The sequence below is a fragment of the Homo sapiens genome, chromosome 6 (assembly GCF_000001405.40).
Source record: "Homo sapiens chromosome 6, GRCh38.p14 Primary Assembly".
NCBI classification, from domain to species: domain Eukaryota; kingdom Metazoa; phylum Chordata; class Mammalia; order Primates; family Hominidae; genus Homo; species Homo sapiens.
Genome location: NC_000006.12, coordinates 126,677,108 through 126,691,405, shown reverse-complemented (window position 1 = coordinate 126,691,405; position 14,298 = coordinate 126,677,108). Strand labels below are relative to the sequence as shown.

At 36.1% G+C, this 14,298-nt stretch overlaps 1 long non-coding RNA gene and 1 pseudogene across 1 annotated transcript in view; both read right to left on the bottom strand.

Annotated features, from left to right (window-relative positions):
• Positions 1-14,298, bottom strand: part of LOC105377992 (uncharacterized) — a 61,454-nt gene that overhangs the window by 30,423 nt on the left and 16,733 nt on the right. The window lies entirely within an intron of this gene.
• On the bottom strand, positions 7,497-8,393 carry RPS4XP9 (ribosomal protein S4X pseudogene 9; annotated as a pseudogene).

Below are 14,298 nucleotides of genomic sequence, written 5' to 3'. Positions count from 1 at the left end.
AGGACTAGCAATACGTTATATACATATTATTTTACACAATCACTTTTAAATCAGTTAAGATATTGTGCATTTGCCTTTATCCTGTCTTCTATAATTACATAATTACTTTTACTGGTGTTCTTTCTTTTTGTGTGGATTGCAATTATCCTGTAGGGTCACTTACTTTCAGCCTGAAGAACTTTCTTTAGTATGTCTTGTAAGACAAGTTGGCTAGGAACAAATTGTCTCAGTTTTTCTTTATCTGGAAATGTCTTGATTTAGTTTAATTTTTGAAAGATAGCTTTGCTGAGTATAGAATTCTTGATTGATAGTTTCTTCTTTGTACATTTTCAATATATTATCCCATTGTCCTCTATCCTCCATTTTTTTGTGATGAAAAGTCAAACTGTTAATCTTATTAGAATTTGCTTTTATTAATAAGTAGTAAGCCATTTTTGCTTGCTGCTTTCAAGGTTTTCTCTTTGCCTTTGATGTATGTTAAGTAGAAAGGGTGCACTCTAAGATAATGATAAGAAGTATATTATAGGAAATATATAAACAAATGACATAGTCATTTAGTATCATTATCAAGTATTATGTACTCTACTGCACTACACTGCACATCTTGGCTTCACTGACCTGAAATTTAGCCTCAATAGCAGATAGTTGCGGGCAAGATGAAATATACCGATGTCTTTCCCTCCAAGAAGGAAAGTCCTCTAATTGGGAACTGGAAGGAGAGAGACCTGTATTCTTGTCTCCACCTGTCTACAGTGCAGTTTCTATTTCTCTGAGCGTGGGTACGGAAGGGAAGGAACAATCTTCAAGTACAACAGATTTCTACTTTTCTTACATCACTTTTGAGATTTCTTGCATAGATGTTTCTTCATTTGTAGGACCATTTTAAGAAGTTATAAAGTGTTGATTTTACTTTTTCATAATTTTCACCAGATTCTCTGGGGAATGCACTGCTGAGCTCCTCAGGCTATCAGGCATGCCACTTCTTCTATTCATAACCTTTATTATAAATGGTATTACACCATCTGAATTCTTCAATAGCTAGGTTTTTATCTTAATACTTTGATGATAAATTCAGTCACTATGTTAATTCATTTTCGTTATTATAAGATTCTGTTCAATGATTGCAACATAATTATTTTCTTTTTGATGGTTTTAGGTTATTTTTATTTTCATTATTACAAACTATGCTGCAATTAACATTCTTGAACATATCTGTTTGTAATCTATGTTAAAGTCTCTCAAGGTGTATATCTAAGATTAGAATGTCTGAGTTTTAGAGAATACATATGCAAGTATCACCAAATTGCTTTTCAAAGATGTTACATCACTTTGACCTTCCACCAGTAAGGATACGAGTTCTTATTTTCTCCACATTTTCACCATCACTTGGCATTTTCAGAACTGCAGTCTCATGTGAGTAAACTAATCATTCATTATGGTTTTAATGTTCATTTGCTTGATTTCTAGCAAGGCAGATTTTTTTTAGTGTTTATTGACCATTTAGGTTTTCTTTTTGTGCACCACATTTTTTTGGTTACTTAGCATATCATCCATGATTTCTTTCAGCAGTGTTTTGTAGTTTTCCTTATCCAGCTCTTTCAACTTCTTGGTTAGGTATGTTCCTAAGTATTTTATTTTTTGTACTGTTGTAAAAGAGATTGAGTTCTTGATTTGATTCTCAGCTTCGTCATTGTTGGTGTATAACAGTGCTGCTAATTTGTGTACATTGATTTTGTATCCTGAAACTTTACTGAACTCATTCATCAGATCTAGGAGCTTTTTCAATGATTCTTTAGGGTTTTCTAGGCATACAATCATATAATCAATGAATAGCAACAGTTCGACTTCCTCTTTACCAATTTGGATGCCCTTTATTGTTTTCCTTTGTCTGATTGCTCTGGCTAGGACTTCCAGTAGTATGTTGAATAGCAGTCGTGAAAGTGGACATCCTTGTCTTTTTCCAGTTCTAAGGGGGAATGTTTTCAACTTTTCCATGTTCAGTATAACGTTGGCTGTGGGTTTGTCATAGATGGCTCTTATTACTTTGAGATATGTCCCTTCTATGTCAACTTTGCTGAGGGTTTTAATCATAATGGGATGCTGGATTTTGTCAAATGCTTTTTTTGTGTGTCTGTTGAGATGATTTTATGATTTTTGTTTTTAATTCTGAGTATGTGATGTATCACATTTATTGACTTGTGTATGTTAAACAACCCCTGTATCCCTAGTATGAAACCCACTTAATCATGGTGCATAATTTTTTCAATATGCTGTTGGATTTGGCTAGCTAGTATTTTGTTGAGGATTTTTACATCTATGTTCATCAGGGATATTGAATTGCAGTTTTCTTATTTTGTTAGGTCCTTTCTTGGTTTTGGTATTGCAGTGATATTAGCTTCATAGAATGATTTAGGGAGGATTTTCTTTTTCTCTATCTTTTGGAATAATTTCAGTAATAATTGATTGGTATCAATTATTCTTTGAATATCTAATAGAATTCAGCTGTGAATCCATCAGGTCCTGGACTTTTTTTGTTATTGGCATTTTTTTTTTTTTTTTTGAGACAGAGTTTTGCTCTTGTCACCCAGGCTGGAGTGCAATAGTGTGATCTCGGCTCACTGCAACCTCTGCCTCCTGGGTTCAAGTGATTCTCTTGCTTCAGCCTCCCTAGTACCTGGGACTATGGGTGCCCACCACCATGCCCAGCTAATTTTTGTATTTTTAGTAGAGACAGGTTACACCATGTTGGCCAGGCTGGTCTCAAACTCTTGACCTCATGATCCACCCACCTTGGCCTCCCAAAGTGCTAGAATTACGGGCATGAGCCACCACGCCCAGCCGGCAATTTTTTAGTTACTGTTTTAACCTGGCTACTTGTAATAGGTATGTTCACAGTTTCTATTTCTTCCTAATTTAATCTATGAGGGTTGTATATTTCCAGGAATTTATCTATCACCTCTAGATTTTCTTTTGTGCATATAAAGATGTTCATAGTAGCCTTGAATTATCTTTTGTATTTCTGTGGTATTGGTTGCAATATCTCCCATTTCATTTCTAATTGAGCTTATTTGGATTGTTCCTCTTCTTTTTTAAATTAATCTTACTAATGGTCTATCAATTTTGTTTATATTTTCAAAGACCCAGCTTTTGTTTCATTTACCCTTTGTATTTTTTGTTGTTGTTGTTTTACTTTCATTTAGTTCTGCTCTGATCTTTGTAATTTCTTTTCTTCTGCTGGGTTTAGGTTTGGTCTTGTTTCTCTAGTTCCTTGAGGTGTGACCTTAGATTGTCTATTTGTGCTCTTTCATATTTTTTGATGTAGGCATTTAATATTGTGAACTTTCCTCTTAGCACTGCTTTCACTGTATCCCAGAGGTTTTGTTAGGTTGTGTCACTATTATCATTCAGTTCAAATAATTTTTTAATTTCAATCTGGATTTCATCATTGACTCAAAGATCATTCAAGAAAATATTATTTAATTTTGTGTATTTTTATAGTTTTGAGGGTTCCTTTTGGAGTTGATTTTCAGTTTTATTCCACTGTGGTCTGAGAGGATACAGGATACAATTTCAATTTTTTTGAAATTTATTGAGACTTGTTTTGTGGCCTATTATATGGTCTATCTTGGAGAATGTTCCATGTGCTGATGAGAAGAATATATATTCTGCAGTTGTTGGGTAGAATGTTCTGTAAATATCTGTTAAGTCCATCTGTTCCAGGGTATATTGAAGTTCCCTACTATTATTTTGTTGCTATCTCATCAGCATGTAGTAATAGTTTTTTATAAATTTGGGAGCTCCAGTGTCAGATGCATATATATATTTAGGATTGTGATATTTTCCTGTTGGACCAATCCTTTTATCATTATATAAAATCGCTCTTTGTCTTTTTTTTTCTGTTGTTTCTTTAAAGTCTGTTTTGTCTGATATAAGAAGAGCTACTCCTGCTCACTTTTGGTTTCCATTTGCATGGAATATCTTTTCCCACTCCTTTACCTTAAGTTGATGTGAGTCCTTATGTATTAGGTGAGTCTCTTGAATACAGCAGATACTTGGTTGGTGGATTTTTATCGATCCTGCCATTCTGTATCTTTTAAGTGGAACATTTAGGCCATTTACGTTCATTAGTATTAAGATGTGAAGCACTGTTATATGCATCATGCTAGTTGTTGCTTGAATACCTTGTTTTTTCCCCCCATTGTCAGTTATTGCTTTCCCTGTGAGATTTATGCTTTAAGAAGGTTTTATTTTGGTGTACTTCGAGGTTTTGTTTCAAGATTTAGAACTCCTATAGCATTTCTTGTAGTGCTGGCTTGGAAGTGGTAAATTCTGTCAGCATTTGTCTGAAAAATAATTTATCTCTCCTTCATTTATGAACCTTAGGATTGCTGGATTCAAATTTCTTGCCTGACAATTATTTTGTTTAAGGCAGCTAAAGATAGGACCCTAATCCCTTCTGATCTGTGAGATTTCTGCTGAAAAATGTCCTTTAATCTAATAAGTTAGATTAACATATGGGTTACCTGACACTTTTGTCTCATAGTTCTTAAGATTCTTTCTTTGGTCTTGACTTTAGATAACTATATAGGTTACCTGATGCTTTTGTCTCATAGCTTTTAAGATTCTTTCATTCGTCTTGACTTTAGATAACCTGATGACTATGTGCCTAGGTGATGATCTTTTTGTGATGAATTTCCCAGATGTTCTAAAAGCTTCTTATATTTGGATGTCTAGATCTCTGGCAAGGCCAGGGAAGTTTTCCTCAATTATTTCCTCAAATAAGTTTTCAAAACTTTTAGATTTCTCTTCTTTCTCAGGAACACCAATCATTCTTATGTTTGGCCATTTAACACAATCCCAAATTTCTTAGAGGTTTTGCTCATTTTTAAAAAATTCTTTTTTCATTGTCTTTGTCTGACTAGATTAATTCCAAAGCCGTGTCTTTGAGCTCTGAAGTTCTTTCTTCTACTTGTTCTAGTCTATTGTTGAAACTTTCCACTGCATTTTGTATTTCTCTAAGTGTGTCTTTCATTTCCAGAAGTTGTGACTGTTTTTTCTTTATGATATCTATTTCTCTGGAGAATTTTTCATCCAAATACTGTATTGTTTTAATTTCTTTAAGTTGTTTTTCACATTTCTCTGGTATCTCCTTGAGTAGCTTAATAGTCAAGTTTCTAAATTCTTTTTCTGGCAATTCAGATATTTCTTCTTGGTTTGGCTCCATTGCTGGAAAGCTACTATGATTTTTTTTTTTTTTGGTGTGTTATAGAACCCCATGTTGTCATGTTAACAGAATTACTTTTCTAGTTTCTTCTCATTTGGGTAGGCTATTTCATTGGAAAGATCTGGAACTCAAGGCCTGCTGTCCAGATTCTTTTGTCCCATGGGTTGATCCCTTGATGTGGTGCTCTTCACCTTCCCCTAGGGAAGAGGCTGAGAGAGAGACTGCAGTGATTGCTATTGCTCTTCTGGGCCTAGCCACCCAGTGGGGCTACCAGGCTCTGGTGCTGAGGAGTATCTGCAAAGAGTCCTGTGATGTGATTCGTCTTCAGGTCTTCCAGCCATGGATACCAGCACCTACTCTGGTGGAGGTGGCAGGGGAGTGAAGTAGACTCTTTGAGAGTCCTTGGTTGTAGATATGTTTAGTGTGCTGTCTTTCTTGAATGCTGGTTATGCTAGCAGTGAAGTTATCACATGGATAGACTCAGGACCTTCAGTTAGCCAGGATGTTGCAGGCAGTGGAATTAGCTATTGTTTTCTTCTTCCTGGGAGCAGTGTTATTCTGTCTTGAGTTGCTCTAATGGTCTGAGTTGGTCAGCCTCTAGCCAGGATGTGGCACTTTCAAGAAAGCACCAGTTGCAGTAGTAGAAAGGGAGGGGAAGGGAGGGGAAGGGAGGGGAAGGGAGGGGAAGGGAGGGGAGGGGAGGGGAGGGGAGTAGTAGAAGAGGGGAAGGGAGGGGAAGGGAGGGGAAGGGAAGGGAAAGGAAGGGAGAGAGAGAGAGAAAGAATGAAAGAAAAACAAAGAAAGAAAAAAGATCTATAACGTGAAAGAGAGAGACAAACTGAAAATTAAAACCTAGTAGAACCAGAACTAATGCAGAAAAAAGAACTTTAACAAACAAAAAAGTATATAAATCAGCCTTAGGGAGTAACAAGGTAATATAATACATCTATAAACATCTAAGAAAGAGGAAAATGATGAAATTGCAAATATGATAGACAATTATAATTTGAAATTTTAGCAGAAATGTTAAAAAATAAAACCAAGTAAATATTTCAGGAAACAAAACAATGTAATTGGAATAGAATAAAAATGATAAAATATTCAGAAAAATCAATTCAGATGTCAACCATCAGATTATTAGTTACTCTAGAAAGAAAAAAAGAGAAAATATAAGTAAAAAAATCATTAAATATATAGGATGAAGATCCAATTTGTGAAGAGAGTCATAATTTAATTTCAAATGCCTGATTTCTAGTTTCATTTTTTAATATTTTATTTTAAATTTCAGCTTTTATTTTAGATACAGGGGGTATATATGCAGGTTTGTTACATGGGGATATTGCATAATGCTGAGGTTTGGCGTAAAGATCCCATCACCCAGGTAGTAAGCATAGTACCCAATAGGTAGTTTTTCATCCCACGCCCTCTTCCCTCCCTCCCCCTTCTAGTAGTCCACAGTGTCTATTGATCCCATATTTATGTCAATGTGTGCTTAATGTTTAGCTCCTAAATACAAGTGAGAACATGTGATATTTCTGTTCCTGCATTAATTCACTTAGGATTATGTCTTGCAACCGCATCTATGTTGCTGCAAAGGACATGACTTTATTCTTTTAATGGCTGCGTAGTATTCCATGGTGTATACGTACCACATTTTTTTTTTAAATTAATCTACCATTGATGGGCACCTGTGTTGATTCCATGTCTTTGCTATTGTGAATAGCCTGGCAATGAACATACAAATGCTTGTGTCTTTGGGGCAGAATGATTTATTTTCCCTTGGGTATATACCCAGTAATGGGATTTCTGGGTCTAATGGTAGTTCTGTGTTAAGGTCTTTGAGTAATCTCCAGACTGCTTTCTATGGTGGCTGGACCAATTCACATTCCCGCCAATAGTGTATAAGCATTCTCTTTCTTCCACAGCTCACCAGCATCTGTTGTTTTTTGACTTTTTAGTAATAGCCATTCTGACTGATGTGAGATGATATCTCATTGTAGTTTTGATTTGCATTTCTCTAATGATTGGTGGTGATGAGCATTTTTTCATATTTGTTGGCTGCTTATATGTCTTTTTTTGAGAATAGCTGTTTGTCCCTTTCTCTCATTTTTAAATGGGGTTATTTTACAACCATCTGATCTTCAACAAGGCTGACAAAAACGAGCAATGGGGAAAGTATGCCCTATCCAATAAATGGTGCTGGGATAACTGGCTAGTCATATGCTGAAGACTGAAGCTGGACCCCTACTTTTCACCGTACACAAGTATTTTTTTAATCATGCTGAATTATTTTAAATTATGTACAAAGATGTAACATGTCACCCAGAGACCATTTTACACACTGTTCTGTTTAGCCACCAGTCTCTTGTCTCCGTCTTTAGCAAAGGTGAGGTGGACACCCTTTCCTCGGGGAAGGTTTGTTGCCCTTGGCTTGTTGCCATGGTTTGTGCCATGGTTTGTTGCCCTTGCCAATAACAAAAAATGTTGGAAAGCCAGGTGGCAATGCTGTTGCCGTTGGCGTCTTTCACGTGAACCATGGCAAAATATCCAGGGTGCCTCTCTCTGTTGGTGATCACACAAATTATTCCCAAGTTAGCACCTCCAGTCACCATATGCTGGTTACCAGCATCAAGCTTGATGAAATCAGTATCTTGCCAGTCTCCGAGTCAATCTGAACGGTTTCATTAACCTTGATGAGGGGATCAGGGTAGCAGATGGTACAAGCATCATGAGTCACCAGATGAGGGATTCCTTTTGTGCCCACTAAGATTTTTCTCACTTTGCATAACTTGTACTTGACCTCCTCAGGTGTAATACAATGTACACCAAAGCAACCCTTGGTGTCATAGATCAGACAGAAATTGTGTCCCTTGTCAATGCTGATGACATCCATAAATCTAGCAGGGTAGGTTATATCAGTTTGGACCTTGCCATCTATCTTAATGAACTGCTGCATGCAAATCTTTTTCATTTCTTCTCAGGGCATACTTAAGTCTGTTCCTTAGGAAAATGATGAGGGGGAGACACTCTCTAAGCTTGTGAGGACTGGTGGATTGATGAAGAGCAAACACACTGGTCAATGTATCCAGCATCTAGTACTTTGGAGCTGCCACCCATTTCAGATGCTTCTTGGGACCAGGAGCCATGGCTGCGCTCGGCACGGAAACAGCCAAACATTAACTCAAAATGGATAAAAGATTTAAATGTAACACCTCAAACTGTAAAATTCTAGAAGACAAATTAGGAAATACCCTTCTTGATATTGGCCTTGGCAAAGAATTTTTGGCTAAGTCCCCAAAAGCAGTTGTAACAAAAACACAAATAGACATGTGGGACCTAACTAAACTAAGAAGCTTCTGCACAGAAAAAAAAGACACTATCGACAGAGTAAACAGACAACCTGCAGAACAAGAGAAGACATTTGCAAACTATGCATCCAACAAAGGCTTAATAACCAGAATCTATAGGTAACTTAAACAAATCAGCAAATAATTTCTAGTTTCTACTGGCACAGGAAATACCGAAAGTTACCACACCAATGCACATTATTATGCAATATCATAATACCAGTGATAGAGAGAGGATTCACTAACTTCTAGAGAGAAAAACACTTCATAGGAAGGAGCAATCAGAATAACATCATATTTTTCCACAGCAACATTTGGTACTACAAGATAATGAAAGATCTGATAGAATATTTGTTAACATTTGTAAATAGAAGAAATTATATAAGTGAAAAAACTAAGACAATAATTAACTCTAGAGAAAACAATGAGGTTTCAAAAAACAGGAAATGCAACATATTACACTGCTTTCTTATTTAGCAAACAATATTTATATATTCACTGTAATGAAACTACATCATCAACTAATAATTATGATAAAGTACATACAATATAAGATATACTATGTATTTGAAGATAAGAGTTGGCATGAACGAGTTTACCTTCTTTTTCAAAATAATAAATTTACTATATATTTATAATTAATAAATCAAGGGAAAGAAATACAGCCATGTTACTTAGGTTTTGAAAAGTGAAGAAATTATGGCTAATGCCGGAAGATACAACTAAAAGTATTAATACTCCTTCTAAGCAATTTAGAGAAGAGCAATGCAGAGGACACTGATTTCAAAAGAATCCTCTGATACTATTAATAATTATGTGCATGAATTATTTGATTAAAAATTAAGACATTATATAATTCAATATAATATTTAAAATAATGACTCTGTGTCCTGTGTCCTAGGGGCAGACTTAAATCCTCTTTGGGGAAAGAAACGATCAGAGGGCTGCCTCCTTTAATTTTATCCAAACCAACTTATTTAAGTTTCCCTAACTGCCATCTTTTGATCCAGGAATTTACTTTTCTTTCAAAGCAGAGCAACTAAAAGATGAGGCAACATGTACCCCCATATTCATTTTATTTATGCAAATCCTAAACATACCAATGAAAGGAAAAACAGGCACATGCACACCCACGATATTCCCAAGCATGCATTTTGTTGTTCATTTTTATTCACCACCCACCTGCCATCTCCTCTACTCAATATCCCTTCTATATTTTAATCTAGTTTTTTTCTTGAGGTGCTATTAGCCAAACCATATGCTGTTCCACTGCTAATTGCTTTCCCTCTCTGTGTGAACAGAGCCCTGTGTCCAGCACGGTCAGGGATTATAGCTCAACAGCTAATTTTGCCTCCGGTCTACTTGATCCCCTTACAGCTGTGTTCTTGGCTTACTTTGCTTTGGTGTTCAAAAAATTACAGGTATCATAATATTTATTCTCTCTTATCTTACCTGCATATTCATATATATTACTGACCAAGACATGTTCTTCTGATTTAGTACATTTTACTGCTATTAAAATACAAATCCAAATATTCCTAATCACATTGTTATAACTTTACATAATATCTAACCAAGAACCAAGCATATTTTATGTTGACCAATATTGTGCATCAGAAAGTAGTATGAAAGAGGAATAATAATCATCATCACAATATTATTAGATATCATTTACATGTTTTGAATGTTTTCTGTGGGTCAAGTTCTGTGTTAAGTAATTCAGATGCATTATCACAACAGCCGTGTAATGTAGGTACTATTATTATCTTATAGGTCAGAAAACTGAAACTTAGGGATATTAAATAACTTCCAAAGTTCACAAATCAAGTCAGAGATAAAACCAGGAGGCATAAGTTCCTACTGGATCATAAAAATGGAATTCCATCTTGCCTGTGAGGAATAAAAGGTTTGGGAAAGAGTCTTGAAAGAGATAATTCCTGAATTAAGTCTTGAAAAAAATACAGGAGCAAACACATGAAGAAGTAAGAGAGTATGTCATCTTAGTGAAGCCAAAAAGAGATCAGTATGATGAAATTACACACCATGATGATCTTTATTAAAACATAGCCACACTTATTTGTTATGCATTATCTATGGCTGCTTTAGCACTACAATGTTGAAATTTAGTAATTTCAGCAAAGTTCATTTGGCTTACAAAACAAAGTATTTGCTATCTGATCCTTTATGGAAAGGCTCGCTAACCTCTATTTTAGAGAGTCAATTAAGTCTTAGAGCAATTAAAAATAAGAAAGATAACCTAAATAGTTTTATTTTTACTTTCATTTATTTAATTTCCAGCACTCCTTATTTCTTTGTGTAGTTGTAAGTTTTTGTTGAGTACCATATTTCTACTGCCTGAATATCTTTTAAGATTTCTTACATAACAGCAGGTCTTAGGCCAGGTGTGGTGGCTCACACCTGTAATCCTAGCAATTTGGGAGGATGAGGCGGGTAGATCACTTGAGGTAAGGAGTTTAAGACCAGCCAGGCCAGTATGGTGAAACCCCATCTCTACCAAAAATACAAAAATTAGCAGGTGTGGTGACAGGCACCTGTAATCCCAGCTACTAGGGAGGCTGAGACAGGAGAAATGCCTGAACCCAGGAAGTGGAGGTTGCAGTGAGCCAAGATCGCACCACTGTACTCCAGCCTGGGCAACAGAGTGAGACTCTGTCGCGGAAAAAAAAAAAAAGCAGATCTTATAGAGAAATCACTATTTTCCTGTCAGTGATGACCTTGGTTACCAAAATAAGTACAATCTCACTTAAATGGCAAAACTCAAGCTACCTCTTGTTTGCTTCTGTTCTTATAACATGGCTCTCCAATGTTTTCTCACAGTTTTTTTTTTAACTTTTATTGAAAAATATTTAAACTGGCAGGAGAATCTGGCAATGATACAATAAACTCCCATGTATACACACCTAAAGTGACCACACTTTCTTTCCTGCACACACATAACAAAAACACACACATACATTTCATGTCAACTAAAGCATTTTAGAGTCTTTGACATCACGACTTTTAACCCTCAAATACTTCAGTGTACATTTTCTAAGAAAAAGGACATCTGATTACCTAAAGCATGGCACAACTATTAATTTCAAAAATTTAAACATTAACACAAGATTATTTCTTCCTTTGTTTTAGTGTTGTCCTTGCAGCATATTTTTTTCTGATTGATGATTTTCTGTTTTTTTCTGATGATGCAGAATCATGCATGTATTTACTTGTTATACGTCTTTTTTTAATTTATTATCTCTAATAATTTTATTGTTATTATTATACTTTAAGTTTTAGGGTACATGTGCACAATGTGCAGGGTAGTTACATATGTATACATGTGCCATGCTGGTGCACTGCACCCACTAACTCGTCATCTAGCATTAGGTATATCTCCCAATGCTATCCCTCCCCCCCCCAAACCCCAAAGCAGTCCCCAGAGTGTGATATTCCCCTTCCTGTGTCCATGTGTTCTCATTGTTCAATTCCGACCTATGAGTGAGAATATGTGGTGTTTGGTTTTATGTTCTTGCAATAGTTTGCTGAGAATGATGATTTCCAATTTCATCCACGTCCCTACAAAGGACATGAAATCATCATTTTTTATGGCTGCATAGTATTCCATGGTGTATATGTGCCACATTTTCTTAATCCAGTCTATCATTGTTGGACATTTGGGTTGGTTCCAAGTCTTTGCTATTGTGAATAATGCCGCAATAAACATATGTGTGCACGTGTCTTTATAGCAGCATGATTTATAGTCCTTTCGGTATATACCCAGTAATGGGATGGCTGGGTCAAATGGTATTTCTAGTTCTAGATCCCTGAGGAATCGCCACACTGACTTCCACAATGGTTGAACTAGTTTACAGTACCACCAACAGTGTAAAAGTTCCTATTTCTTCACATCCTCTCCAGCACCTGTTGTTTCTTGACTTTTTAATGATTGCCATTCTAACTGGTGTGAGATGATATCTCATTGTGGTTTTGATTTGAATTTCTCTGATGGCCAGTGATGGTGAGCATTTTTTCATGTGTATTTTGGCTGCATAAATGTCTTCTTTTGAGAAGTGTCTGTTCATGTCCTTCGCCCACTTTTTGATGGGGTTGTTTGTTTTTTTCTTGTAAATTTGTTTGAGTTCTTTGTAGATTCTGGATATTAGCCCTTTGTCAGATGAGTAGGTTGCGAAAATTTTCTCCCATTTTGTAGGTTGCCTGTTCACTCTGATGGTAGTTTCTTTTGCTGTGCAGAAGCTCTTTAGTTTAATTAGATCTCATTTGTCAATTTGGCTTTTGTTGCCATTGCTTTTGGTGTTTTAGACATGAAGTTCTTACTCATGCCTATGTCCTGAATGGTAATGGCTAGGTTTTCTTCTAGGGTTTTTATGGTTTTAGGTCTAACATTTAAGTCTTTAATCCATCTTGAATTGATTTTTGTATAAGGTGTAAGGAAGGGATCCAGTTTCAGCTTTCTACGTATGGCTAGCCAGCTTTCCCAGCACCATTTATTAAATAGGGAATCCTTTCCCCATTGCTTGTTTTTCTCAGGTTTGTCAAAGATCAGATAGTTGTAGATATGTGGCGTTATTTCTGAGGGCTCTGTTCTGTTCCACTGATCTATATCTCTGTTTTGGTACCAGTACCATGCTGTTTTTGGTTACTGTAGCCTTGTAGTATAGTTTGAAGTCAGGTAGTGTGATGCCTCCAGCTTTGTTCTTTTGGCTTAGGATTGACTTGGCAATGTGGGCTCTTTTTTGGTTCCATGTGAACTTTAAATTAGTTTTTTCCAATTCTGTGAAGAAAGTCATTGGTAGCTTGATGGGGATGGTATTGAATCTATAAATTACCTTGGGCAGTATGGACATTTTCATGATATTGATTCTTCCTACCCATGAGCATGGAATGTTCTTCCGTTTGTTTGTATACTCTTTTATTTCATTGAGCAGTGGTTTGTAGTTCTCCTTGAAGAGGTCCTTCACATCCCTTGTAAGTTGGATTCCTAGGTATTTTATTCTCTTTGAAGCAATTGTGAATGGGAGTTCACTCATGATTTGGCTGTCTGTTTGTCTGTTGTTGGTGTATAAGAATGTGTGTGATTTTTGCACATTGATTTTGTATCCTGAGACTTTGCTGAAGTTGCTTATCAGCTTAAGGAGATTTTGGGCTGAGACAATGGGGTTTTCTAGATATACAATCATGTCATCTGAAAACAGGGACAATTTGACTTCCTCTTTTCCTAATTGAATACCCTTTATTTCCTTCTCCTGCCTAATTGCCCTGGCCAGAACTTCCAACACTATGTTGAATAGGAGTGGCGAGAGAGGGCATCCCTGTCTTGTGCCAGTTTTCAAAGGGAATGCTTCCAGTTTTTGCCCATTCAGTATGATATTGGCTGTGGGTTTGTCATAGATAGCTCTTATTATTTTGAAATACGTCCCATCAATACCTAATTTATTGAGAGTTTTTAACATGAAGAGTTGATAAATTTTGTCAAAGGCCTTTTCTGCATCTATTGAGATAATCATGTGGTTTTTGTCTTTGGTTCTGTTTATATGCTGGATTACATTTATTGATTTGTGTATATTGAACCAGCCTTGCATCCCAGGGATGAAGCCCACTTGATCATGGTGGATAAGCTTTTTGACGTGCTGCTGGATTTGGTTTGCCAGTATTTTATTGAGGATTTTTGCATCAATGTTCATCAAGGATATTGGTCTAAAATTCTCT